Source organism: Homo sapiens, chromosome 17, assembly GCF_000001405.40.
Source record: "Homo sapiens chromosome 17, GRCh38.p14 Primary Assembly".
Lineage (NCBI taxonomy): Eukaryota > Metazoa > Chordata > Mammalia > Primates > Hominidae > Homo > Homo sapiens.
Window position 1 is genome coordinate 5322655 of NC_000017.11, and position 26194 is coordinate 5348848.

The following is a 26194-nucleotide window of genomic DNA, read 5'->3' on the forward strand; positions in this document are numbered from 1 at the left end:
AATTCAACAACATATTAAAAAGATCAGCCACCACGATCAAGTAGATTACTCCTGAGGAGGCAAGGATGGTTCGATATACACAAATAAAGAAATGTGATACATCACATTAACATAACCAAGAACAAAAGCCATATGGTTGGCCAGGTGCAGTGGCTCATGCCTGTAATCCCAACACTTTGGGAGGCCGAGGCGGGTGGATCACTTGAGGCCAGGAGTTTGAGACCAGCCTGGCCAACATGGTGAAACTCCGTCTTTACAAAAAATTCAAAAAATTAGCCGGGCATGGTGGTGCACACCTGCAATCCCAGCTACTCTGGAGGCTGAGGCATGAGAATTGCTTGAACCTGGGAGATGGTGTTGCAGTGAGTTGAGATTATGCCACTGCACTCCAGCCTGGGTGATGGAGTGAGAGACTGTCTCAAAAAAAACAAACAACAACAACAACAAAAACTGTATGGTTATATCAATAGATGCTGCACAAGCATTCAGTAAAATTCAGCACCTCTTTATGATACAAACCCTCATCAAATTGTGTGTCGAAGGAACATACCTCAAAATAATGAAGGCCATCCATACATGACAAACCCACAACTAGCATCATACTGGATGGGGAAGAGTTGAAGGCCTTTCCTCTGAGATCTGGAACAAGGACGCCCACTTCAGCCAGTTTTATTTAATATAGTATTGGAAATTGCAGCCAGAACACTTAGGCAAGAGAAATAAAGGGCATCCAAATTGGAAAGCATGAAGTTAAGTTTGTCTTGTTCACAGATGACACAGTCTTATATTTAGAAAAACTTAAAGACACCACCAAAAAACTGTTGACTGATAACTTTAGTAAAATCACAGGACACAAAATCAGTACACAAAAATCATTAGCATTAATATATACCAACAGTGAACAGCCTGAAAAAGAAATCAAAGCAATCTCATTTACAATGGCTACAAAACACACACATACACACACAACACAGACCATCTTTCCATTTGTATGTGTGTCCTCTTCAATTTCTTTCATTGGTGATATATATATATATCTCTCTCTAGGAATATATATATATATCTAGGAATATATATATATCTAGGAATATATATATATCTAGGAATATATATATATATCTAGGAATATATATATATATCTAGGAATATATATATATATCTAGGAATATATATATATATCTAGGAATATATATATATATCTAGGAATATATATATATATCTAGGAATCAATTTAACCAAAGAAGCGAAAGATCTGTAAAACACCAATGAAAGAAATTGAAGAGGACACACATACAAATGGAAAGATGGTCCGTGGTCATGGATTTAGGAGAATTAATATTGTTGAAATGACAATACTATCCAAAGCAATTTACAGATTCAATACAAATCCTATCAAAATACCAATGACATTTTTCACAGAAACAGAAAAATCTTAAAATTTATATGGAACTGTGAAATACCCTGTATAGCCAAAGCTATACTTAGCAAAGGTAACAAAGCTGGAGGAATCACACTATATAACATTAAAATTTACTACAAAGCTATAGTAACCCAATCAGCATGGCACTGGCATAAAAACTGACACGTAGACTAATGGAACAGAATAGAGTACCCAGAAACAAATCCATGCATTTTGCAGTCAACTCATCTGCAACAAAGGCACCAAGAATATTCAATGAGAAAAGGAAAGTCTCTTCAATAAATGGTGGTAGGATGACTGGGTAACCATTTGCAGAAGAATGAAATTAGGCCCCATCTCTCTCCATATATACACAACAATCAAAGTAGATTAAAGACTTAAATCTAAGACCTGAAACTATGAAGCCACTAGAGGAAAACACTTGGGAAACAGACATTGGTCTGAGCAAAGATTTGTGTGTGTGTAAGACCTCAAAAGCATAGGCAAAAATAGACAAATGGGATTGCATCAGGCTAAGAAGCCTCTGCACAATAAGGGAAACAAAGTGAAGAGACAAGCTACAGAATGGGAGAAAATATTTGCAAACTACCCATCTCATAAGGGATTAATAACTACAATGTATGAAGAAGATTTGTTAAAGAAGCAAATCTTATTTAAACACAAAAGATTCAAATAGGCATTTTTCAAAAGACGTAAATGGCCAAGAGGTATGTGAAAAGATGCTCAACATCACTAATCATTAGAGAAATGCAAAGCAAAACTACAATGGGATATCCTGTCACCACAGTCAAAATTGCTTTTATCAAAAAGACAGGCATTCATCCACTGATGGTGGGAATGTAAGTTAGTACAGCCACTGTGGAGAATAGTATGGAGGTTCCTCAAAAGACTAAAATAAGAGTTGCCATATGATCCAGCAATTCCACTATTGGGTATATATCCAAAAGAAATGAAATCGCTGGGCATGGTGGCTCATGCCTATAATCCTAGCACTTTGGGAGGCCAAGGCAGGTGGATTGCCTGAGCTCAGGAGTTCGAGACCAGCCTGGGCAACATGGTGAAACCCCGTCTCTACTAAAAAAGCAAAAACAAACCAAAAAAAAACCCAAAAATTATCTAGGCGTAGTGGTGCCTGCGTGTAATCCCAGCTACTTGGGAAGCTGAGGCAGGAGAATCGCTTGAACCCGGGAGGTGGAGGTTGCAGTGAGCCAAGATCGTGCCACTCACTGCACTCCAACCTGGGCAACAAGAGCAAAACTCCGTCCAAAAAAAAAAGGAAAGAATGAAATCCTGTCATTTGCAGCAACATGGATGGAACTGGAAGTCATTATGTTAAATGAAATAAGCCAAGCACTGAAAGACAAGTATCACATGGTCTCACTTGTGGAGGCTAAAAAAGTGGATCTCATGAGAAGATAGACTAGATTGGTGGTACGAAGGTCAGGGAAAGCGGGGGTCTGGGGAGATGAAGAGAAGTTGATTAATGGGTATGAGTATGTGGTTTGATAGAAGAAATAAGACCTAGTGTTAAACAGATCAATAGGGTGACTCTTGTTTACAGTAATCTATTCTAGATTTCAAAATAGAAGAATTCGAATGGTTCTAGCATAAAGAAAAGACAACCCTTGGTGTCCATGGGATGAAAGAAAAAAAAAACCGACAAATATTTAGGGTGATAGATACCCGAACTACACCCAGTTTGATTTTTACAAGTTACATTAATGTATTATCACATGTACTTTAACTATGTACATGTGCATCAATAAAAATAAAATGCAACAGTAACAAAATGAACAGCCACATTACCAAATGGGCAGAAGACCCAAACACCTCACTAAAGAGTCTATACAGACGGCAAGTAAGTATATGAAAAGATTATTAGACTGTGAGAATGGCCTAAATCCAAAATACTGCCGATACCAAAAAATGCTGGTGAGGATGTGGAGCAACAGCAGCATTCATTGCTGGTGGGAATGCAAAATGACGTAGCCACTTTGGGATGTAAGTTTAGTGCTTTCTTACAAAACTAGGCATACTCTTGCCTTTTGATTCAGCAGTCATGCTCCTTGGTATGCAATTAAATGACTTGAGAAGCTTTGTCCCAAAACTTGCACAAATATATTTATAACAGCTTTATTCATAATTGTCACAACTTCGAAGCATGGAAGATGTCCTTCAATAGGTTAATGGATGAATACACTGGTATATTGAGACAGTGGAATATTATTCCATGCTAAAAAGGAATGAGCTATTAAGTCATGAACAGACATGGAGGAATGTTAATGCAAACTACTAAGTGAAAGAAGGCAATTTGAAAAGGCCATATACTGTATGATTCCAAGCATATGACATTCTAGAAGAAGCAAAACTGTGGAAACAAAAAAAAGATCAGTGGTTGCCAGGGGTAGGAGGAAGAGGGGGTGAATATGTAGAGTACAGAGAATTTTTAGAGCAGTGAAACTATTTTATATGATACTGTGGTGGTGGGAACATGTCGTTACACATTTGTTAAAACCCATAGAATGTAGCACATTTAAGAGTGAACCCTAGTGTAAACGAAGTGGGTGATGATAGTGTGCCAGTGTGGGTTCATCAGTTGTATCAAATGTGCCACTGTGGTACAGGGTGCCTGTAGTAGAGGAGTGTGGATGTACAGGGGTGTGGGGCATATGGGAAACCTCTGTATTTTCTGCTCAATTTTGCTGAGAACCTGAAACTGCTAAAACGTTTATTAAAAAAATAAGAAAATACAGTTATGCATTGCTTCGTGATGGCGATACATTCTCAGAAATGCATCGTTTGGTGATTTTGTCCTTGTGCGAACGCGGAATGTACTGACAAAAACCTAGATGTTATATAGCCTACTACACATGTAGGCTACATGGTATAGCCTATTGCTACTAAACTGAAAAGCTGTACAGCACGTTACTGTACTGAATGCTGTAAGCAGTTACAACACAGTGATATTTTTGTATTAAACATAGCTAAACAGGCTGGGCACGGTGGCTCACGCCTGTAATCCCAGCACTTTGGGAGGCCGAGGTGGGCGGATCACCTGAGGTCAGGAGTTCGAGATCAGCCTGGCCAACATGGCGACACTCCGTCTTTACCCAAAATACAAAAATTAGCAGGGTGTGGTGGCACATGCCTGTAATCCCAGCTACTTGGGAGACTGAGGCAGGAGAATCGCTTGAACTTGGGAGTTGGAGGTTGCAGTGAGCCGAGATCATGCCACTGCATTCCAGCCTGGGAGACAGAGTGAGATTCTGTCTCAAAAAAAAAAAAAAACCCCAAAAAACAAACAAAACCCAAAAAGCAACATAGCTAAACATAGACAAGATGTTTGGCAGTATGATGTTACCATGGCTAGATGTCACTAGGCAGTAAGAATTTTTCAGCCCCTATAATCTCATGTAACCACTGTTGTGTATGTTTTTTGTTGTTGACTAAAACGTGATTATTTTGCATGTGACTATGTGTCTGAGATTTGTCTCACAGTATATATGGAGTGCATATGGATGGATTGGGGATGATTTGCCATGAGTGTATGGTTACTGGAGCTGGCTGGTGCATACATGAATTTTATAATAATTTTTGGTATCTGGTAGGGCAAATTTCCCCACTTACTCAAAATGATCATTACCTTTTTGTTAAACTTTTTCTTATGTAAACATTTAAAAATAGACAAAAGTAGGCAAAACAGTATAAAGCTATGTTAGACAGTATATAAAGTATTGGCATGAAAATAGACAATTTTTATAGAACAGAGTTCCCCAAATGGGACCCTCACAAATGTGAAAATTTGAAATATGACAAAGATGACATTGTCAAAATGGGAAAAGACTGGGACAATGGGCATAGGACAATGAGAACGTCTATACAGATAAAGCAGGTTTCAGTTTCACACCTGATACCTGTGAACATAATATATGATATATTGAGACTGTGATATTCTAATTAATGAGTGAAGTAGTTATCAACAGTCAACAATGTTGAGGGCTAAGAAGTAACTGCAAAAGAACATTAAGGTTTCAAAACCTGCGACGTAAGTAAAGATGTAACATATACGCACTGTAATGATAAACCCAAATTCCTGACAGTTGTTACCTCAGAGGAAGGTAGTGTATTTGTGATGTTTTGTTTCCTGAAGTTAAAAAGAAATGGAAGGAGATGTAGCAAAATATTAAAAATGATGGATCTAGGTGATAGGTAATAGGTGCCCATTATAGGATTTTTTATATTGTTTCTATGCTTGAAGTAGTTTATAATGCTTTATAGCATTAGTATAGGCCAGGCGTAGTAGCTCATGCCTGTAATCCCAGCACTTTGGGAGGCTGAGGTGGGCAGATCACTTGAGCCTAGGAGTTGGAGACTAGCCTGGGCAGCATGACAAAACTCCCTCTCTACAAAAAAATACAAAAATTAGCTGGGTGTATTGGCATGTGCCTATAGTCCCAGCTACGTGGGAAGCTGAGGTGAGAGGATCACTTCAGCCTGGGAGGCAGAGATTGCAGTGAGCTGAGGTCGCACCACTGCACTCTAGCCTGGGCGATAGAGTGAGACGCTGTGTTAAAAAAAAAAAAAAAAAAAAAAAAAAGCCGGGCGCAGTGGCTCACGCCTGTAATCCCAGCACTTTGGGAGGCCGAGGCAGGTGGATCACGAGGTCAGGAGTTCAAGACCAGCCAGGCCAAGATGGTGAAACCCTGTCTCTACTAAAACTACAAAAATTCGCCAGGCGCAGTGGCAGGCGCCTGTAATCTCAGCTACTCGGGAGGCTGAGGCAGGAGAATCACTTGAACCTGGGCGGCAGAGGTTGCGCCACTGCACTCCAGCCTGGGCGACAGAGTGAGACTGTCTCAAAAAAAAAAAAATAAATTATTAGTATAACCAAATGAAGTACTTGAATCTTGTTTTGATCTTAATTTAAACAAATATTCAGAAAGACTTTTTTTTTTTTTTTTTTTTGTCAATTGGAGAAGTTTTACCAGAGATTTGGTATTAGTTATCAGGCAGTTGTTAATTTTGTTTTGTGTGACAGTGGTACTTTGTTTATATAAGAAACTGTCCATATTTTTAGAGATGCATCTGTACAGTACGTTAGATAATGTAGTATTTCTGGGGCTTGCTTTAAAATACTACAGGAAAGAAAAAGGATAGTTTAAATAAGCATGGCAGGCTGGGTGTGGTGGCTCACGCCTGTAATCCTAGCACTTTGGGAGGCTGAGGCGGGCGATCACCTGAGGTCAGGAGTTCAAGACAAGCCTGGCCAACAAGGCGAAACCCCGTCTCTACTAAAAAATACAAAAATTAGCTGGGCGTGGTGGCACGCGCCTGTAATCCCAGCTACTTGGGAGGCTGAAGCAGGACAATCTGTTGAACCCGGGAGGCAGAGGTTGCAGTGAGCCAAGATCGTGCCACTGCACTCTAGCCTGGGCAACAAGAGCGAGACTCCGTCTCAAAAAAATAAATAAGCATGGCAAATCTTAATACCTTTTGAGTCTTGGTGAAAGCTATATGAAGGATTGTTGTAGTATACCCTCAACTTTTGAATATGTTTGAAAATCTTAATAATTACATATACAGCAGTAAAAGCAATAAACGAATGTTAGAACTCCTACTGTTGGCAAACATAATGTTTGAAATGCTTTACTACAAAAAATTAAGATTTTCTAACTTTATTTTAAATTTCTGTCTCCTGTTTTTTTGTATTTATATATATAAATATAACATTCATATATATGTTCATATATATATATATATATATATATATAACTAAAGTTACTGTTGACCAAGTCTTCCTCCAGGCTCTCTATTTCACTTTTAAGTGCCAAAAATGGATATTTAGGCTTGGTATTTGTTTACAGTTTTTCTGTTCATAATGACAACATGGTAGTGAATAGCTCTGGGTAATCTCCAGCAAATCAAAAGTACCAGAGGTAATTAGCATGAGGACCTGTTAAGTGTATAAACTTGAGCCTTGATAAAATTGTAGTACCCAAAAATGAATAAAGTATCCCAGAAATAATGCTTTTTCTTTTTTCACATTTTATGAAACAGTTTAACACTCAGAATACAGAGTTGACACACATAAACTTTTCCTTTGTGGTTTCACGTGTTTACATCTTTCTGGGTCTGTCTATTTGCATGCCTACCACAACTTCCCAGGTGTCTGTCTTTAAGGGACTTCACACAATTACTTTTTTAATTAATGTTCTTAAAACTGTCTTTGGCTAGAGATTCAAAATATTTTAAGAGTGATGGAAACTGATGTTGAGAGAGTAAAGATTTCAAAACAACTTAGCATGACTAGGTGTTTCCCTCTGTGACTTTGACTACCAAATCATTAACTCCTGTGATAACAATGAACATTTCACAACGTTTAAAAGTTCTCTTATTTTACTATTGGATTTTTATAAGTAGTTAGAAATTTATGCAAGAAAGTATTGCCACTGTCTTCATGAGGAAACTGAGGCTTGAGAATCTTGTGATTTCCTTAAAGTCATACAGCTGGTTAGCGGTAGAATTAGACCTTAAATCAGTTTATTTTCATGGTCAGTTTGGCTCAGTTATTGTGCTTTGGAGAGGAAATTGATACTTTTACAAAGATGAAGAATTTTTTTTTTCATAAATACCTTACAACTTTAGATGCTAAAAGGCGTAAGTTAAGGCCGGGCGCGGTGGCTCACACCTGTAATCCCAACGCTTTGGGAGGCTGAGGCGGGAGGATCATTTCAGCCCAGGAGGCCAAGACCAGCCTGGGCAGCGTAGTGAAACTTTGTCTCTACAAGAAATTTCAAAAATTAGCCGGGCGTGATGGTGCATGCCTGCAGTCCTAGCTACTCAGGAGGCTGAGGTGGGGGGATCGCTTGAGCCCAGGAATTTGAGGTTATAGTGGTCTATGTTTGCGTCACTGCACTCCAGCCTGTGCGACAATTGAGACCCTATCTCTTAACTTTTTTTTTTTTTTTTTTTTTTTTTTTTAAAGAAACACAGCGGCTGACTGGGAAAAGTTTTGTAAGAGAAGACAGACTTAATATCCAGAATATATAAAATGCTCTTACAGATCAGAAGGAAAATCATTCATTAGAAGCAAATGTAAAGAATGTCACCAAAGAGGAAATGAGTCACTAGTACATATATGAGAAGATGCTCAAACTCCTTATTAACAGGGAAAATGTAGATTAAAGTGACCATTTGCTACCCATGATATTTACAAGAATTTTTAAAAGATGGAAAATAGTGACTGTTGTTAAGGGTATGGGAAAACAATCACACATCCCTGTATACTGTTGATAAGTTCATCTTTTTTTTGAAGTTAGTTTGGCCAAACATATGTTCTGCCTGGGCTTAAACCATGTAGTAGGCACATTACATCAACTTAGTATTTAAAAGATGGTAAGAGGGAGCCGAGAAATTAATGCTAACTTTAAAGAACATACGTCTAGTCACTGCCATGTGCTCTGGCTTTCTTTTCTCTTTTATTAAACATTTTTTGAATGTTTGTGGAAGGTAATGTACTAATTAGCGTTTCCAATAAATTATCATTACAACAACCTTGTGAGGTGGCTGTTTTTAACTTCCATTTTGCAGATGTGGAAACTTAGGCCAGAGAGATTAAATAACATGACCAAGTTCATTTAGTCAGCAGACGGGAATGCGTAAATTGAGCTCTAAAACCATGACTGTAACTACTGGATCATTAGATAGATAGTAACAATTGATTTGTGATACCCAGCTTACCTTAAATCTCACCTCTATTAAAAGGGTGTCATTTTGTATGTTTATATTTTAAAATTTAATACCTTATTTCTTTATTGGAATGCCAGTCTGATCAAAGTGAACATTAATGGACTATCTTTTACTTTTCTCTCCAGAGGATCTGAAGAGGCAAAATGCAGTATTACAAGCTGCACAAGATGATTTGGGACACCTTCGAACCCAGCTGTGGGAAGCTCAAGCAGAGATGGAGAATATTAAGGCGATTGCCACAGTCTCTGAGAACACCAAGCAAGAAGCTATAGATGAAGTGAAAAGACAGTGGAGAGAAGAAGTTGCTTCACTTCAGGCTGTTATGAAAGGTAAAGACAGAGAAAGATCAATTTTGTGATTTTCTAAGATATCCGATTCTGATGATTGAGAATATTTTCAGAGAATCTTAAAATATATACAGAGTTTCATTTGTGGTTTTATGTACTGTCATCATCAAGATATACTTTCAGATAAAAGAGAAGTCACTAATAACATAAATGGATATATCAATCGTATCTAACTTAATAATGGAGAGTTATAATAGGGATGTTATAGAGATAATGCATTAAATGAGGACTATAGTTCATTGTAAGGCTTAAAAGTCGATTTCTTCTAGGAGGCAGGCTAGTAATCTCAAATAATTAAGCTGTATGGGCACAGGGAATGTGCTGGAGTAGAGAGAGCTGCCATGCAAAGGGTAAAGTAACTGTTTACATTGATGAGCTTCAGCTAATTATTGCCCTTCCAGTGTAGTTTGGCCATACGTTTTAGAATTTTTTTTTTTTTTTTTTTTTGAGATGGAATCTCGCTCTGTTGTCCAGCTTGGAGTGCAGTGGCGCAGTCTCAGCTCACTGTACTCGCTGCAACCTCTGCCTCCCGGGCTCAAGCGATTCTCCTGCCTCAGCCTCCCGAGTAGCTGGGATTACAAGCATGTGCCACCACGCCCAGCTAATTTTGTATTTTTAGTAGAGACGGGATTTCGCCATGTTGGTCAGGCTGGTCTTGAACTCCTGAGACCTCAGGTGATCCACCTGCCTCGGCCTCCCAAAGTCCTGGGATTACATGTGTGAGCCACAGCGCCTGGCCTGGTTTAGATTTTTTAAGAAACTTTGTATGTGAAATCTTCACTGCACTCTGTTGGGTAGAATGGCCTATGGGCTAAGGTAGGCTTCATGGGCTGCCAGCTTATGACCTTTCGTCTAAAAGAAGAGACGTAGTTTAGTCTCAGACTCCTTTTGGCACTAGTGCTGAATTACTTCCCAAATTTCTGAGAAGATGATGATGAAACAAAGTAAGTGGTCACTGAATCTTTGAGTTCCTGGAATTAGTTAATATTCTATTTTATTTTTTACTTTTTGAGATGGAGTCTCACTCTGTTGCCCAGGCTGGAGTGCAGCGGCACCATCTCGGTTCAGTGCAACCTCCGCCTTCCAGGTTCAAGCGATTCTCCTGCCTCAGTCTCTCAAGTAGCTGGGACTACAGGCGCCCGCCACCACGCCCGGCTAATTTTTTGTATTTTTAGTAGAGACTGGGTTTCACCATGTTAGCCAGGATGGTCTCGATCTCCTGACCTCGTGATCTGCCCGCCTCGGCCTCCCAAAGTGCTGGGATTACAGGTGTGAGCCACCATGCTTGGCCCAGATTAGTTAATATTCTAAATGTGAAATAGTGATGACTTTTTCCACCGTGTTTGCAATTGTGTATCACTTTTTGCCTTAGTGCTCTTTATAAAAAGGCAGGTGAGGCTAGCCCTATTTCTGAGTGTATAGCTATGGCCTAGAGATTACTCTAGGCTTCATATAACAAACCCAACTACAGTGGCTTACCAAATTAGGAGTTCCTTTTTCTCCCAGAACACGAAATCCAAAGGTAGATAATCTAGGCCTGGTTTTGTATTGGTTCCATGATGTCAACAATGCCTCAAACTCCTTCAGCCCTTCTGTTCTTTCATCCTTAGCATATGGTTTTCAACTTAATCTTTGCCTCAGCTGAAAAATAGCTGCTTCTCCTTCAGTCTGCATCAGAAAAGCAAAAATTTTCTAGAAGTACCCAGCATATCCCTTTCGCTTTGTTGACCAAGTGTGTGGTCACTCATAACTACAAGGGAAACTGGACAATGTAGTTTTAAAATTGCGCACATTGATTTCCTAAACAAAATTGGAGTCTTACTGGTAAGGAAGAAGGAGTGGAAATTAATGGGCAATCAACAGGGTCTGTTACCTAGTGGTTTTTTTTTTTTTTTTTGAGATACTTAGGCTTGAGTGCAGTGGTGTGATCTTGGCTCACTGCAACCTCCGCCTCCTGGGTTCAGGCAATTTTCGTGCCTCTGCCTTCCAAGTAGCTGGGACCACAGACATGGCGACATCACACCCAAATAATCTTTTCTTTTTTTTCCCTTTCCCTTCCCCTTTCCTTCTCTTTTTTTTGAGACAGAGTCTCACTCTGTCACCCAGGCTGGAGTGCGGTGGCATGATCTCGGCTCACTGCAACCTCTGCCTCCCGGGTTCACGTGATTCTCCTGCCTCAGCCTTCCGAGTAGCTGGGACTACAGGTGCCTGTCACCACGCCCAGCTAATTTTTGTATTTTTAGTAGAGATGGGGTTTCACCTTGTTGGTCAGGCTGGTCTCGAACTCCTGACCTCAGGTGATCCACCCGCCTCGGCCTCCCAAAGTGCTGGGATTACAGGCATGAGCCACCACACCCGGCAATTTTTCTATCTTTGGTAGAGATGGGGTTTTGCCATGTCGGCCAGGCTTGTCTTGAAATCCTGGCTTCAAGTGATCTGCCCGTCTGCCTCCCACAGTGCTAGGGTTACAGGTGTGTGTGAGCCACTATGCCCGGCCACGTTTTAAGATTATATTAAAGAGAAAGCGATTTTTTTAAAGACCTTATAGAGTTTGCCTCAACTTACAATCTTGGGTTCTGGTAAACTATTCCAGAAATATATCCCTTTTCGTATACTTTCAGGTAGTGGGATTGGGGCGACATGTTATATTTGCCTTGGGAGCCATAGTATAGTGTCTAAGAACATAGATTTTGGAGTTGGCCTTAAGTTCGAATTCTAGCTTTGCTTCATTCTGGGCATGAAACATTGGCCAGACTATTTAATCTTTCCTAAGGTTTTCTCCTTCGTAAAATAATATATGACACAGGTTTATTGTGAAGATTAGAAGTGATGATTTAAAGCCCTTATTTCTGTATATAATAAGAACTACAACTAGTTTGTCTTGTTTTTTAGTGAATTAAACATTTTCCAGAAATTAGACGTAAGCTTTTTATATAACTTTAAAAAATTTAGTGTGCCAGGTTATTTTTTTTTCATAATGCTTAGATGTGAAATATGTGGTGATGTTTTGTAGAAACAGTTCGTGACTATGAGCACCAGTTCCACCTTAGGCTGGAGCAGGAGCGAACACAGTGGGCACAGTATAGAGAATCCGCAGAGAGGGAAATAGCTGATTTAAGAAGAAGGCTGTCTGAAGGTCAAGAGGAGGAAAATTTAGAAAATGAAATGAAAAAGGTATGAAGGAATGTGTTCATTTGTAGAAATATTTGAATTCAAATGCAAAATGCTTTAATATTGTTGTGTAATAGAAAGTAATAGAAGTACTTTGATATTTCCTGTGAGAATAATTATTTGGACACAGACCTAAACATAGTACTAAATAATGTTATATCTATGGCTAACTCTCTCACCTTCTTCACATTTTTGATCAAATATCACTACTTCATGGGGTTTTTCCCGACCACCCGCCATTTAACATTGCAACCTGCCAACTTCCCTCTGCCACCTGTCACTACTCTCCTCTCCCTTATCCTTCTCTAGTTTTTCTCTTTCCATAGCACATATTTCCTTATACTACACAGAGTTCACCTATTGTGTTTATTGTTTACTGTCTTTCTTTCCTTGCTAAAATATAAGCTCTGTGAAGGCAGGAGTTTCTCTTTCTCTCTTTTTTTTTAATAGCTTCAGGGGTACATGTGCTTGTTTTTTATTTGTATATCCTAAATGCCTAGCATAGTGTCTAGGAGATAGGTGCTTGAACTCCTAAATACCAGTTGAGTGGGTGTTGTTGCTTGATGATTGTGTCTAAAGCAAAGTTTTAGAATAGATGTTAGTTTTCCTTCTTTCTCGGTATCCTTTGGTTTCTGTGTACCACATATTATGTACCACATATGCTTGAACATAATACCATATAATACTTGAACATAGGGCAACTAAATGTAAATTGAGACATTTTATCATTGAGAAAATATTAAAAGCTTTTTAGCTAGTTTAAATAAACTTTTACATTATTTTATATGCATACACATTTAAAATCACATTGTATAAAATAATTAGTAATTGATTTTTCTTTTCAATTGAATTGATCATGCCTTTTTGGTTCCTAATTCTTAGTTCATTCTTCAAATGCATGTATATTCATGATTTCCACAGTCTTTCAATTTTAGAACTGTTTTTGATTATCTGAAAAATTGGGAAGATAGTACAGAGTTCCTATATACTCCATGCCTAGTTTCTCCTGTTGTTAATGTTTTACATTAGCATGGTACATTTGTCACAGCTAATAAGCCTCTATCAATTTATTCTTATTAACTGAAGTCCATTTTTGTATTCAGATTGCATTAGTTTTTACCTAATGTCCTTTTTTTTCTGTTCTAGGATCCCATCCAGGATACCATATTGCATTTAGTTGTGTCTCCTTAGATGCCTCTTGGCTGTGACAGTTTCTCAGATTTTTCTTGTTTTTAATGACCTTTCTGTCATTTTTTAAAGTGCTTTTTAAAGGTTTTGTTTATGATGACATTCAGCACTTGGAATTGTGAAGTCATATTTATATTAATAAATAACTTGATTTGTGATCAGTTCTTTGCTTCCTCCCTCCTTTTTTTTCCTGTTGTTTTTTATCAGATGACCTTTATAAGCATCCTAAACTAGCCTTGACTGAGATATTTTAACTTGTCTTTTCCAAATAGTATTTAATTCAAAATAAAATAAATGATGGCTTTGTGTAAGGACCTGAAAACAAAGTGAATCTGAACCTGTTTTTTGAGGGGTATGTTATTTGGGGAAAATCCCCCTCACGTTTGGGCATTTATGATATTTTTCCCTATCGTGCACAACTTAGTATAACTTTGCACTCATTTAAATTCAGTGAATTAGGTTTTCAGTTTCTCTAGAAGGAAAAAAGCCAACTTTTTGAGCCTGCCTTTGTTTCTCTGCGTGTAAGTGTATGTGTATATAAGAAATGAAAATTCATTTTCTCACCAGTTTACTAGTTTATGTAAGTTGGTTCCTTTTAATCCATGTTTTTGAGAATGGACTTGGGAAAGCAATGATAGTTTTAAGGGGTCACTCTTTGTGTTTGTTTCATTTAGATGGTAAAAGTAAAATAGTATTTAAAGTACTCTGTTTAATTGGATGGAAGCCTTTTTATAGCAACATAATTTTCTAACATTTTAGAAAACACGTTATTCTATTTTGGGTGTTTAAAATGTAATCAGCCCTTTCATTATTCATAAGAAATTATTGTCTCATGAACTTACTAACCCAGGAATTTTAAAAATTATTTATTATGGGCTGGGCGCGGTGGCTCACGCCTGTAATCCCAGCACTTTGGGAGGCCGAGGCGGGCGGATCATGAGGTCAGGAGATCGAGACCATCCTGGCTAACACGATGAAACCCTGTCTCTACTAAAAATAATAATAAAAAAAAAATTAGCTGGGTATGGTGGCAGGCGCCTGTAGTCCCAGTTACTCGGGAGGCTGAGGCAGGAGAATGGTGTGAACCTGGGAGGTGGAGCTTGCAGTGAGCGGAGATCGTGGCACTGCACTCCAGCCTGGGTGACAGAGCGAGACTCCGTCTCAAAAAAAAAAATTTATTTATTATGTGTATTTCCTTTTATATATGGGATATTTTCTTAATTGATTAAGAAGTCAAATTTGTTTTAGTGAATCAATTTTCCCATTTACTCCCGAATTCTAAATGGAATATTTGGGAAAACTCAGTTATACCTTGACATTCAAAGTAATGCACTATTTGAAAGTTAGACATTAGTTCAGTTTTGCGAATATTAATATAGTGTCTGGTCAAGTTACTTGTTATAATAATTTTTAGCAAATGGAAGGGTTAGAGTTTCTTAGAAAAGCAGTAAATGAATAAGTCGTAGCATTTAATTCTTTTTAACCATAGGCCCAAGAGGATGCTGAGAAACTTCGGTCCGTTGTGATGCCAATGGAAAAGGAAATTGCAGCTTTGAAGGATAAACTGACAGAGGCTGAAGACAAAATTAAAGAGCTGGAGGCCTCAAAGGTTATGAAACATTGTAATCCATTTGCTTGAAACCCAAGTTTCTGCCCCAATGCCATGAACAAAATTAGAATCAGTAATAGGGAAAAAAACCTGTAATTTAGACTATGCATCTTAAGAATCTTTCTTTAAAATGCAAAAAACTGCCGGGCGAGGTGGCTCACGCCTGTAATCCCAGCACTTTGGGAGGCTGAGGCGGGCGGATCACCTGAGGTTGGGAGTTGGAGACCAGTCTGACCAACATGGAGAAACCCCATCTCTACTAAAAATACAAATTAACCAGGCATGGTGGCGCATGCCTGTAATCCCGGCTGCTCCCAGCCTCGGGAGGCTGAGGCAGGAGAATCGCTTGAAGCCCGGTGGCGGAGGTTGCAGTGAGCTGAGATTGTGCCTTTGCACTCCGGCCTGGGCAACAGGAGCGAAATTCTGTCTCAATAATAAAAAATAAATTTAAATGCAAAAAACTGCTTTGAGATGGTTTTGCTCTTATGGACATTTAAAATAATCACAATAATGATGTTTTATCACAAGTGGCTGCTTTGTCACAAAGTTAATGTTCATTTTCTTAAGAAAATGAGACCCCGTCTCATTCATTTTCCTATTAAGGAAAATAAACTGTTCGAAGTTGACCTTGTTTTCTGATGCCAGCTCCAGCATTGATCTTTTAGAGATAATGTAGCTATAGTATTGCTGAATTTGTTGGCCATAAAGACACAGCAAAAGAATTAAAGTAGGAACAGGCCAGGTGTTGTGGCTCACACCTGTAATCCCAATACTTCAGGAAGCTGAGGCGGGAGAATTGCTTGTGCCCAGGAATTTGAGACCAGCCTGGGCAACATAGTGAGACCCCTGTCTCTACAAAAATTTTTTAAAAAGCCAGACACGGTGGTGCATGCCTGTTGTCCCACCTACTTGGGAGACTGAGATGGGAGGATTACTTCAGCCCGGGAGTTTGAGACTACAGTGAACTGGCACTCCAGACTGGGTGACAGAGTGAGACCCTGTCCCCCACACCCAAAGAAAAAAAGGAAGAAAGTAGGAACAAAAGAAGCATAAGAAAATAAAAACAATATGAAAATAAATGGGAATTTATCAATAGTCTTGGTAAATGTAAACTGATACCTATGTTTAAAAGAGATTATCACATTGGATTGTAAAAATCTAACTTTATGTTACTTGTAAGAGCTATGCCTAAAATCAAACCACAAGGTAAGACTGAAAATATTAGCCAGTTATAGTGGTGTGTGCCTGTGGTCCCGGCTACTTGAGAGGCTGAGATGGGAGAATTACTTCAACCCAAAAGGTTGAAGTTGCAGTGAACCATGATCATGCCACTGCACTCCAGTCTACGTGATAGAGTGAGACTCTGTCTTAAAAGAAGCCTGGGCGCGGTGGCTCATGCCTATAATCCCAGCACTTTGGGAGGCTGAGGTGGGTGGATCACCTGAGGTCAGGAGTTCGAGACCAGCCTGGCCAACATGGTGAAACCCTGTCTCTACTAAAAATACAAAAATTAGCCAGGCGTGGTGGCCACGCGCCTTGTAGTCCCTTCTACTTGGGAGGCTGAGGCAGGAGAATTGCTCAAACCCAGGAGGTGGAGATTGTTGCAGTTACCTGAGACTGTACCACTGCACTCCAGCCTGGGCGACAGAGTGAGACTCCATCTCAAAAAAAGAAAGAAAAAAATACTGAAAATAAAGGGATAAAAATATACCATGTAAATTCGAACCAAAAGAAAGCTGATATACCAAGTGTAGTATCACAAAGATAGGATAAGGGGGAAAAGCCACTAATAGAGATAAAGAGGGATCCTATCTAATAAACAGTTCATCAATAAGATATAATAGTCATGAACTTGAATGCACCTTACATAGTCATGAAATGCATAAACTAATAATGACAATTACAAGGAGAAACTGACTTTCACAAATATAGTAGCAGATTAAAATTGACCTTTACAGAATACAATCAGAAAAAATTATTAGTAGAGCTATAGACATTTTGAACTATCAGGTTAGTTATTTAGTTGTAATTGACACACAGAACTCGGTATCCAAGAGTGAGATGGTATCGCATACAGTACTAGAACATAATAGTTAAGAGCTCAGCATTTAGTAGCCTGGGTTACCTTGGGCAAATTACTTAATCATACTGTGCTTTGATTTTCTCAACTGTGAAATGGGGATAATAAGCCCACCTTAATAGTCACCATATGGCTATTATGAGGAACATATAAATTAATCCCTATAGTAGCCACTGTATGGCTATTATGAGGAACATATAAATTAATACCTATAAACCTTTAGGATAGTACCTGGGACAAGGTATAGTTATTTTTAGATACATTATCTTAGAATTGAGGTTACACAGACCCAATTCTGTAACTATGGGTTATTCAGGTATTTACGCTAAAATGATAGTTAAAATGCTTGGACATGAAAAAAATACTCATGGAAAAAGTAATTACAAAATATTTAGAATGATGTGAATAATGCCAGATCTTTAAAAAAAAAAAAAAAGTACAAACTGAGCCGGGCGCAGTGGCTCATGCCTGTAATCCCAGCACTTTGGGAGGCTGAGGTGGGTGGATCGCCTGAGGTCAGGAGTTCGAGACCAGCCTGGCCAACGTAGTGAAACCCCATCTCTACTAAAAATGCAAAAAATTAGCTGGGCGTGGTGGCGGGCGCCTATAATCCCAGCTACTGGGGAGGCTGAGGCAGGAGAATTGCTTGAACCCAGGAGGCAGAGGTTGCAGTGAGCTGAGATCTTGCCATTGCACTCCAGCCTGGGCAACAAGAGCAAAACTCCGTCTCAAAAAAAAAAAAAAGTACAAACAAAATAAATGGAAATGAATAATATAAACATAGGAATTTGTGAAATAGAAAAGCAAAAGAACAATAGAGACTATCAATATAATGAAAAAATGGAAAAACTATAGACAAATCTCTGGTAAGACTGATCAGGAAAAATGAAAACAAAAATGAGAAATCAGAAGTGAGTCCGAGTGTAGAGGCTCATGCCTGTAATCCTAGCACTTTGTGAGGCTGAGGCAGAAGGATCACTTGAGCCCAAGGAGTTGAGGCTGTGGTGAGCCATGGTGGCTCCACTGCACGCCAGCCTGGGCAAGGGAGCCTGTCTTAAAAAAAAGAACATAACTACAAATCAGTAGAAATTTAAAAATAACAAATACTATAAACTGTCACACAAATAAATTTGAAAACAGATGAAAAAATTTCTAATAAAAGATAATTAGCCCAAATTATTCCAAAACAGGAAAGGTAGTCAGTAATTATTAAAGAAAGTGGATCTAGAGTAAAAAATCTTATTGTCTCTTGCCTCCTCTCACCAAAAGATATTAAACTGTTGATTTTACAGGTAAGTTTTTCCAGACTTTCTGGAAAGAGCAAATTCTTATATTTTACGAACTCTCAGGGAATACAAAAAGAGAGAAAGCTCTCCAACTGTTTTTATGAGACTAGTAGATCTTCACTACAAGTGAGCAAACACATAGAAAGGTAGTATGAGAAGAAATTATAGATCTGTCTCAGGAATACAGAAGCTAAAATTTTCAACATCGTAGGTAAAATAAAGGGGGAGAAATACATCATGACCAAGTAGGGTGTATTCCCAGAAATTTATCGGAAAATCTATCATTGCAGTGTACACGTGAAATGATTGTAGAAGAACAGCATTATATTCATTTTGGATTCAGAGAGGTATTTGAGAAATTTGACCACTCAATAACTTAGTAAAGGGCTATTTATCAAACCTTTGGCAAACATAGTTAAGGGTGAATATTTAGCAGCCTTACCATTAATGGTGGGAACATTCTGGGGCAGACCCATGCTCAGTAATTCAGAAATGAGGCATAAGAACTGGAAAGAAAGCAACGAGACTGATTCAATTGTCTGTATAAAGAAACCAGAGAATGTACAACAGATTGTTAGACCTAATAAGAGTTCAACAATTTGAAAGTTGTTCAAACAAAATCAACATACTAAGATAATTGTTTTTCTATGCCCCAGTGATAACCAGTTGAAGAATGCAGTGGTGGAAAAAAGATTGATCCTATTCACAAGAGTAAAAAAAAAGAAAAAAAAGAAAAAGAAAAACTAGTTAGCTACCAATATAGCTAAATAAAGATGGGCAGGGTCCTTATAGACTACATAATAAATGAGGACCTGAATCTGTATTTTCCTGAATGAAAAGATAGAGCATTGGGCCGGGTGCAGTGGCTCACGTCTGTAATCCCAGCACTTTAGGAGGCCAAGGTAGGGGGATCACCTGAGGTTAGGAGTTTGAGACCAGCCTGGCCAGCATGGTGAAACCCAGTCTCTACTAAAAGTACAAAAATTAGTCGAGCATGGTTGCGGAAGCCTGTAGTGCCAATCTCTCAGGAGGCAGAGGTTGCAGTGAGCTGAGGTCGTGCCACTGCACTCCAGCCTGGGCAGTAGAGCGAGACTCTGTCTCACACACACACAGCATTATAAAGTAGACATTGTATCCCCAAATTTTTAAATTTTACTTAAATTTCAATAGGGTTTAATTAGGAACTTGATAATTCAGTTCTAGAAGTAGACTTCATATAGAGAAGTGAAGGAACAGGAAAATACTTAGCAAAATTTTGAAGACAAGATGAGGAGACTTGGCCTACCTACCAGATAGCAGGACCACAGTAAAGCTACTATAATTAAGGTAGTTTGTTACTGGTTTAGGGATAAACAAATGGATCAATAAAACAGAAAGCCCAGAAACAGACCTATATATGTGTAAATTTGATATATGACAGGTGGCATTACAAATCAGTGGGTGAAGAATGGATTGTTAAAAAATACCCTTTTTGGCTGAGTGTGGTGGCTCGCGCCTGCCATCTCAGCACTTTGGGAGGCCAAGGCAGGTGGGTCACCTGAGGTCAGGAGTTCGGGACCAGCCTGGCCAACATGGTGAAACCCTGCCTCTACTAAAAATGCAAAAATTAGCTGGGCATCCGCCTGTAATCCCAGCTACTTGGGGGGCTGAGGCAGGAGAATCGCTTGAACCTGGGAGGCGGAGGTTGCGGGGAGCCAAGATCGCACCATTGCACTCCAGCCTAGGCGACGAGTGAAACTCCGTCTCAAAATAAATAAATTATTATCTGGCCATGTGCGGTGGCTCATGCCTGTAATTCCAGCACTTTGGGAGGCTGAGGTGGGCAGATTGCTTGAGCTTAGGAGTTCAAGACCAGCCAGCACAACATAGTGAAACTCTTTCTTTACAAAAAATACAAAAATTAGCCAGATGTGGTGGTGCATACCTGTAGTCCCAGCTACTCGGGACGAGGCATGAGAATCATGAGAATCACTTGAACCCAGGAGGTGGAAGTTGCAGTGAGCTGAGATTGGGCCACTGCACTCCAGCCCGGGAGACAGGTTTATTTCTAAACCGGTAACGAACTATCTTAATTATAGTAGCTTTACTTCAAGTCGTACTATCTGATAGGTAGACCCACTCTCTCCACCTTGTTGTCTTCAAAAAGATTTCTTTCTTTCTTTTCTCTTTTTTTTTTTTTTTTTTTTTTTGAGTCAGGGTCTTGCTGTGTTGCCTAGGCTGGAGTGTAGTGGCATGATCTTGGCTCACTGCACCCTCCACCTCCCAGGTTCAAGCGATTCTCCTGCTTCAGCCTCTCAAGTAGCTGGGATTACAGGCGTGCACCACTGCACCTGGCTAATTTTTGTATTTTTAGTAGAGACGGGGTTTTGTCATGTTGGCCAGGCTGGTCTCGAACCCCTGACCTCATGTGATCCACTCACCTTGGCCTCCCAAAGTGCTGGGATTACAGGCATGAGTCACTGTGCCTGGCCCAAGGTTTCCTAAATAAGACAAAAATATTGACTGTGAAAGGAAAACTGGCAAGTTTAGCTACATTATAATATAAAGTTCTTTGTTAAAAGATACTATTAATACAAAAAGTTGAAAAGAGAAGCTACAGACTATAAGAAGATATCAATACCTCATAACTGACAAAATATTAATATCCAAAATAATAAAATTGCTAAGTTGGCTGGACGTGGTAGCTCACACCTGTAATCCCAGTATTTAGATTGCTTGAGACCAGGAGTTTGAGACCAGCCTGGGCAACATGGAGAAACCCTGTCTCTACTAAAAATACAAAAATTAGCCGGGCATGGTGGTGCACGCCTATAATCCCAGCTACTTGGGAGGCTGAGGCACAAGAATTACTTGAACCCGGGAGATGGAGGCTGCAGTGAGCGTAGGTTGTGCCACTGCACTCCAGCCAGAGCAACAGAGTGAGACTCTCTCTCAAAATTGCCAAGTCCACAAGTGACAGATAATTCTGAAGAAAAACAGGTAAAGTGGCCGAGCGCAGTGGCTCGTGCCTGTAATCCCAGCACTTTGGGAGGCCGAGGCGGGCGGATCACGAGGTCAGGAGATGGAGACCATCCTGGATAACACGGTGAAACCCGGTCTCTACTAAAAATATGAAAAATTAGCCGGGCGTGGTGGCGGGCACCTGTAGTCCCAGCTACTTGGGAGGCTGAGTCAGGATAATGGCGTGAACCCGGGAGGCGGAGCTTGCAGTGTGCCGAGATCGTGCCTCTGCACTCCAGCCTGGGTGACAGAGCAAGACACTGTCTCAAAAAAAAAAAAAAAAAAAAAAAAGGAAAAACAGGTAAAGTATAGCTAGGTGGCGCATGCCTGTAATTCCAGCTACTTGGGAGGCTGAGGCATAAGAATTGCTTGAACCCAGGAGCCAGAGGTTGACGTTGCAGTAAGCTGAGATCGCGGCACCACCCTCCAGCCTGGGCGACAGATCGAGACTCCGTCTCAGAAAAAAAAATAAAAAAAAATAAACAGGTAAAGTGTATGAGCTGTCGGTTAACAAAAGAGGAAACCAGAATAGTCAAGGAGTGTGAAAAGATAGTCAACATTCAACCACACTAGAAATTGGGGAAATGTAAATGAAAGTGGGACATCATTTTACCCTAACCAGGTTGTAAGGGTTATAGAGAAATTGGTTGCATTCACCGACTACTGGTGTATGTGAAACTCTTCCGTTTAAGGCACTGTTGTCACATTGTCCTCCCAGTTGACTGTTTTTGGTTTCTCATGACCCTCATTGCTTCTCTGTATTTTCTCCTGCATAGATCCTGATACCACGTACATTTTTCTGAATAGGTGGCTTTCAGTGGTTTGTTTGTACCCTCTCCTTGTCACCTGGCTTTTTGTAGATGTCCATTTGTTGTTGGTTTTGGTCATTCCAGGGTATGGAACTCAAAGTAATTCAAATAGTATGTCACTATTGCCATCATCTTCCCAGGGTCCTGCTCAGTAGTTTTCAAATATTAGAAATTCATTATTAATTAAACCAAATGTTTATTCCAAAAAGTAATAACTGGTAGAATTAGTGGGTTATATACCACCATTTTAAATCTGCCATACGGACTCTTTTACCATCAGCTGAATTACCACCGTCCTCAGGTGTTAGAGAAAGTATTTCATGATAGTTGCAACTTTACCATTCTTTGTTCATATCATGTGCTGGACTGTCAACCTTCAGTGAAGCATCAAATGATTGCTTAAATGGTCATTTAAGTCTTTGACTATTATTGCATGATGGCCTAGGAGTAAAGATAACTGAAAACAGATAAGCCACTTTAAGTTTGAAGAAATAGGAAGATAAAAGGCATGAAAAGGACCTTGAATGTGATATTAGATATAACCATTTGAAAAAGTTGAAAGTTAACTAAAGGGTTAGAATTTAGAATGGACAATTTATGTGACAGTCTAAAGTGACGTAATCCTTGATTTTCTGGGGAAGAATTGTATTTTTTTTGGTTATAACTTTCCTATATTAGACTATATTGTTACTATTTTGAGTATTACACTTAATTGATCAACAGAAAAAAAGTATTTTTTTTAAAGATGTGGTTTTATTTTATTGTTATTTTTTGGAAACAGGGTTTCTCCGTGTTTCCCAGGCTGGTCTCAAACTCCTGAGCTCAAGCATTCTGCCCACCTTTGCCTCCCAAAGTGCTAGGATTACAGGCGTGAGCCACCACACCTGGGCAAGATGTGATTTTAAAAAGTATTCTGCATTTGCCTTTAAGTCATTACAGTGTGAGACTAGTTATTTGTTCCATTATAATTTCCTCTTTTTTACTTCCATGAGTATATGTATCTGTGAAAATGTCTTCTTTTTATACATTTAAAGCATTTGGAATTCCCTCACCAGAAGTAAAAGGAAAGCAAACTTAAAAGTGTATGGTATCGTTTTTGTCCTTAGAAATTAACTACCGATTTAAAAAAGCAAAACATACCTGGTGTTACTGTTATGGCTGAAACAGATACATGCATATGTTGATGTGGGAATACAAATTGGAGCCGCCTTTTTGAAAAGCAAGGGACAAAGCTGTTATGTGAAATCTCAATTGTATATTTTATTCTGGTGGTGTGATTATGGATAACATCTATTAAGTTATTTTCCCAGTTTTCTATAGTACATATTTTATAATTAAAAATTATAAATGTTAATTTATGTAGATGTAAAAGTAAGTGTAAATTTTTTTGAGGCATAGCCAGAACTTACCATCATTCTGTATCTAAGATAGAAACTGTTGTAAATTTCAGTTTAATGGAATTGCATCTTCTTTCAGGTTAAAGAACTGAATCATTATCTGGAAGCTGAGAAATCTTGTAGGACTGATCTAGAGATGTATGTAGCTGTTTTGAATACTCAGAAATCTGTTCTACAGGAAGATGCTGAGAAACTGCGGAAAGAATTGCATGAAGGTAAATATACTGTATATTTTTATCTTTGTCTCTAAGAACCATATAAGTTAAATTGATGTTGACTAATAACAGTGACAAATCTTAAAATAACAATGCAACATGTTAGTGATTCAATTTAAGCCTTGTAGTTGGTTTAAATGTACTCATGCAAAGCTGAAATTATGGTTTTTCCTTCGTGAGCTCAGTAATAACTTCACAAGGTGGCTGGGTACAGTGGCTCACTCCTATAATCCCAGCACTTTGGGAGGCCAAGGTGGGCAGATCACCTAAGGTCAGGAGTTTGAGACCAGCCTGGCCAACATGGCGAAAACCCGTCTCTACTGCAAAAACAAAAATTATCCAGGTGTGGTGATGCGCACCTGTTATCCCAGCTACTCAGGAGGTTGAGGCACGAGAATCACTTGAACCCAGGAGGCAGAGGTTGCGGTGAGCCAAGCTCACACCACTGCACTCTGTCCTGGGCGACAGAGCGAGACTTCATCTCAAAACAAACAAACAAACAAACAAACAAACAAACAAACAAACAAAACATCACCAGGCGTGAGCTCTGGGCAGAGAGATAATAAAGCTGGGAATTTCTGCTTCAACTACTTTTCCCCCCACACTCATTTTGATGGAGGTGTATTAGCAAAAGTGAAAATGGAAGAGGGCAGAGAGTGTATTCTGGAGGCCCTAAGTAACACTCTGTTTTTAAGGGGACAATTTTGATTTCACTAGTCTGGTAGCTCAGTGATACAGAAATTGACTCTATTTTCCAGGGGTACATTCTTTCCCCACTAAAATATTATGAAAATAACCCAAACTTTGAGTGAAGTTTTGGCCTTCAGGAAACAATTTCCAAGTGTGCTATTGCAATAAAAAGACACTCATATTCTTAAAGGTGTCCAAAAGAACTAGTTCAGTTTAAACTATGTCCCTCTAACACTTCCAGAAATAATGTAAATTATTGAGACTACCAACCTTCCTAATAAACCTTGAAAAGTATCCGAGAAGGTTAATTAAAATGAGGAAGGACATGGAGTAATTTCCATACTGAAACACTCACAATAAAAAATAGAGTCTTTTTTTTGAGACAGAGGTTCATTCTTGTTGCCCAGGCTGGAGTGCAGTGGTGTGATCTCGGCTCACTGCAACCTCCACCTCCTGGGTTCAAGTGATTCTCCTGCTTCAGCCTCCTAAGTAGCTGGGATTACAGGCATGCGCCACCATGCCTGGCTAATTTTGTATTTTTAGTAGAGATGGGGTGTTTCTCCGTGTTGGTCAGGCTGGTCTTGAACTCCTGACCTCAGGTGATCCATCCGCCTCAGCCTCCCAAAGTGCTGGGATTACAGGCGTGAGCCACCACGCCCAGCCCAGATAGGCTTCTTAAAAGAAGTTGTTCTTAAATGGAGTTTTGGAAGGTGGGTAGGGGATTGTCAGGTAGTCAGAGAGAAGCATGGCATTCAAGGCCATTTGCATGTGATGCAGCTAGGTAAGGAAGTCTAAGAAAAGCAGTTCAGCACAATTAGAATACAAGAGGCAATGGGCAAAATGTGAGGTTGGAGCAGTAGAAACAGGCCAGGACATAGAGGTCTTATGCTAAGAATATTGGACTTGATCATCTGGGCAGTTCGGATCCTCTGAAGGTTTTTTATTTTCTCTTTTTTTTTGTTTTGAGATAGTCTTGCCCTTGTCGCCCAGGCTGGAGTGCAGTGGCGCGATCTCGGCTCACTGCAAGCTCTGCCTCCTGGGTTCACGCCATTCTCCTGTCTCAGCCTCCCAAGTAGCTGGGACTACGGATGCCCACCACCATGCCTGGCTAATTTTTTTGTATTTTTAGTAGAGATGGGATTTCACTGTGTTAGCCAGGATGGTCTCGATCCCCTGACCTCGTGATCCGCCCACCTCGGCCTCCCAGAGTGGTGGGATTACAGGCATGAGCCA

The 26194-nt window shown here is 39.5% G+C and overlaps 1 protein-coding gene across 9 annotated transcripts in view; it reads left to right on the forward strand.

Moving 5' to 3' along the window:
* The window catches only part of RABEP1 (rabaptin, RAB GTPase binding effector protein 1), a 104057-nt gene that overhangs the window by 40371 nt on the left and 37492 nt on the right, over positions 1–26194 (forward strand). For 6 of the 9 annotated variants that reach the window (XM_047437039.1, XM_047437038.1, XM_011524060.3 and 3 more), the window contains 4 exons: positions 9295–9498; positions 12530–12690; positions 15365–15484; positions 24136–24271. In XM_047437039.1, the coding sequence (XP_047292995.1) occupies positions 9384–9498; positions 12530–12690; positions 15365–15484; positions 24136–24271 (532 nt within the window). In that variant the 5' untranslated portion in view covers positions 9295–9383. Of the gene's footprint in view, positions 1–9294; positions 9499–12529; positions 12691–13833; positions 14037–15364; positions 15485–24135; positions 24272–26194 lie in introns of those variants that run through there. The other 3 variants (XM_047437040.1, XM_047437041.1, NM_001291582.2) reach the window with 2 other exon arrangements.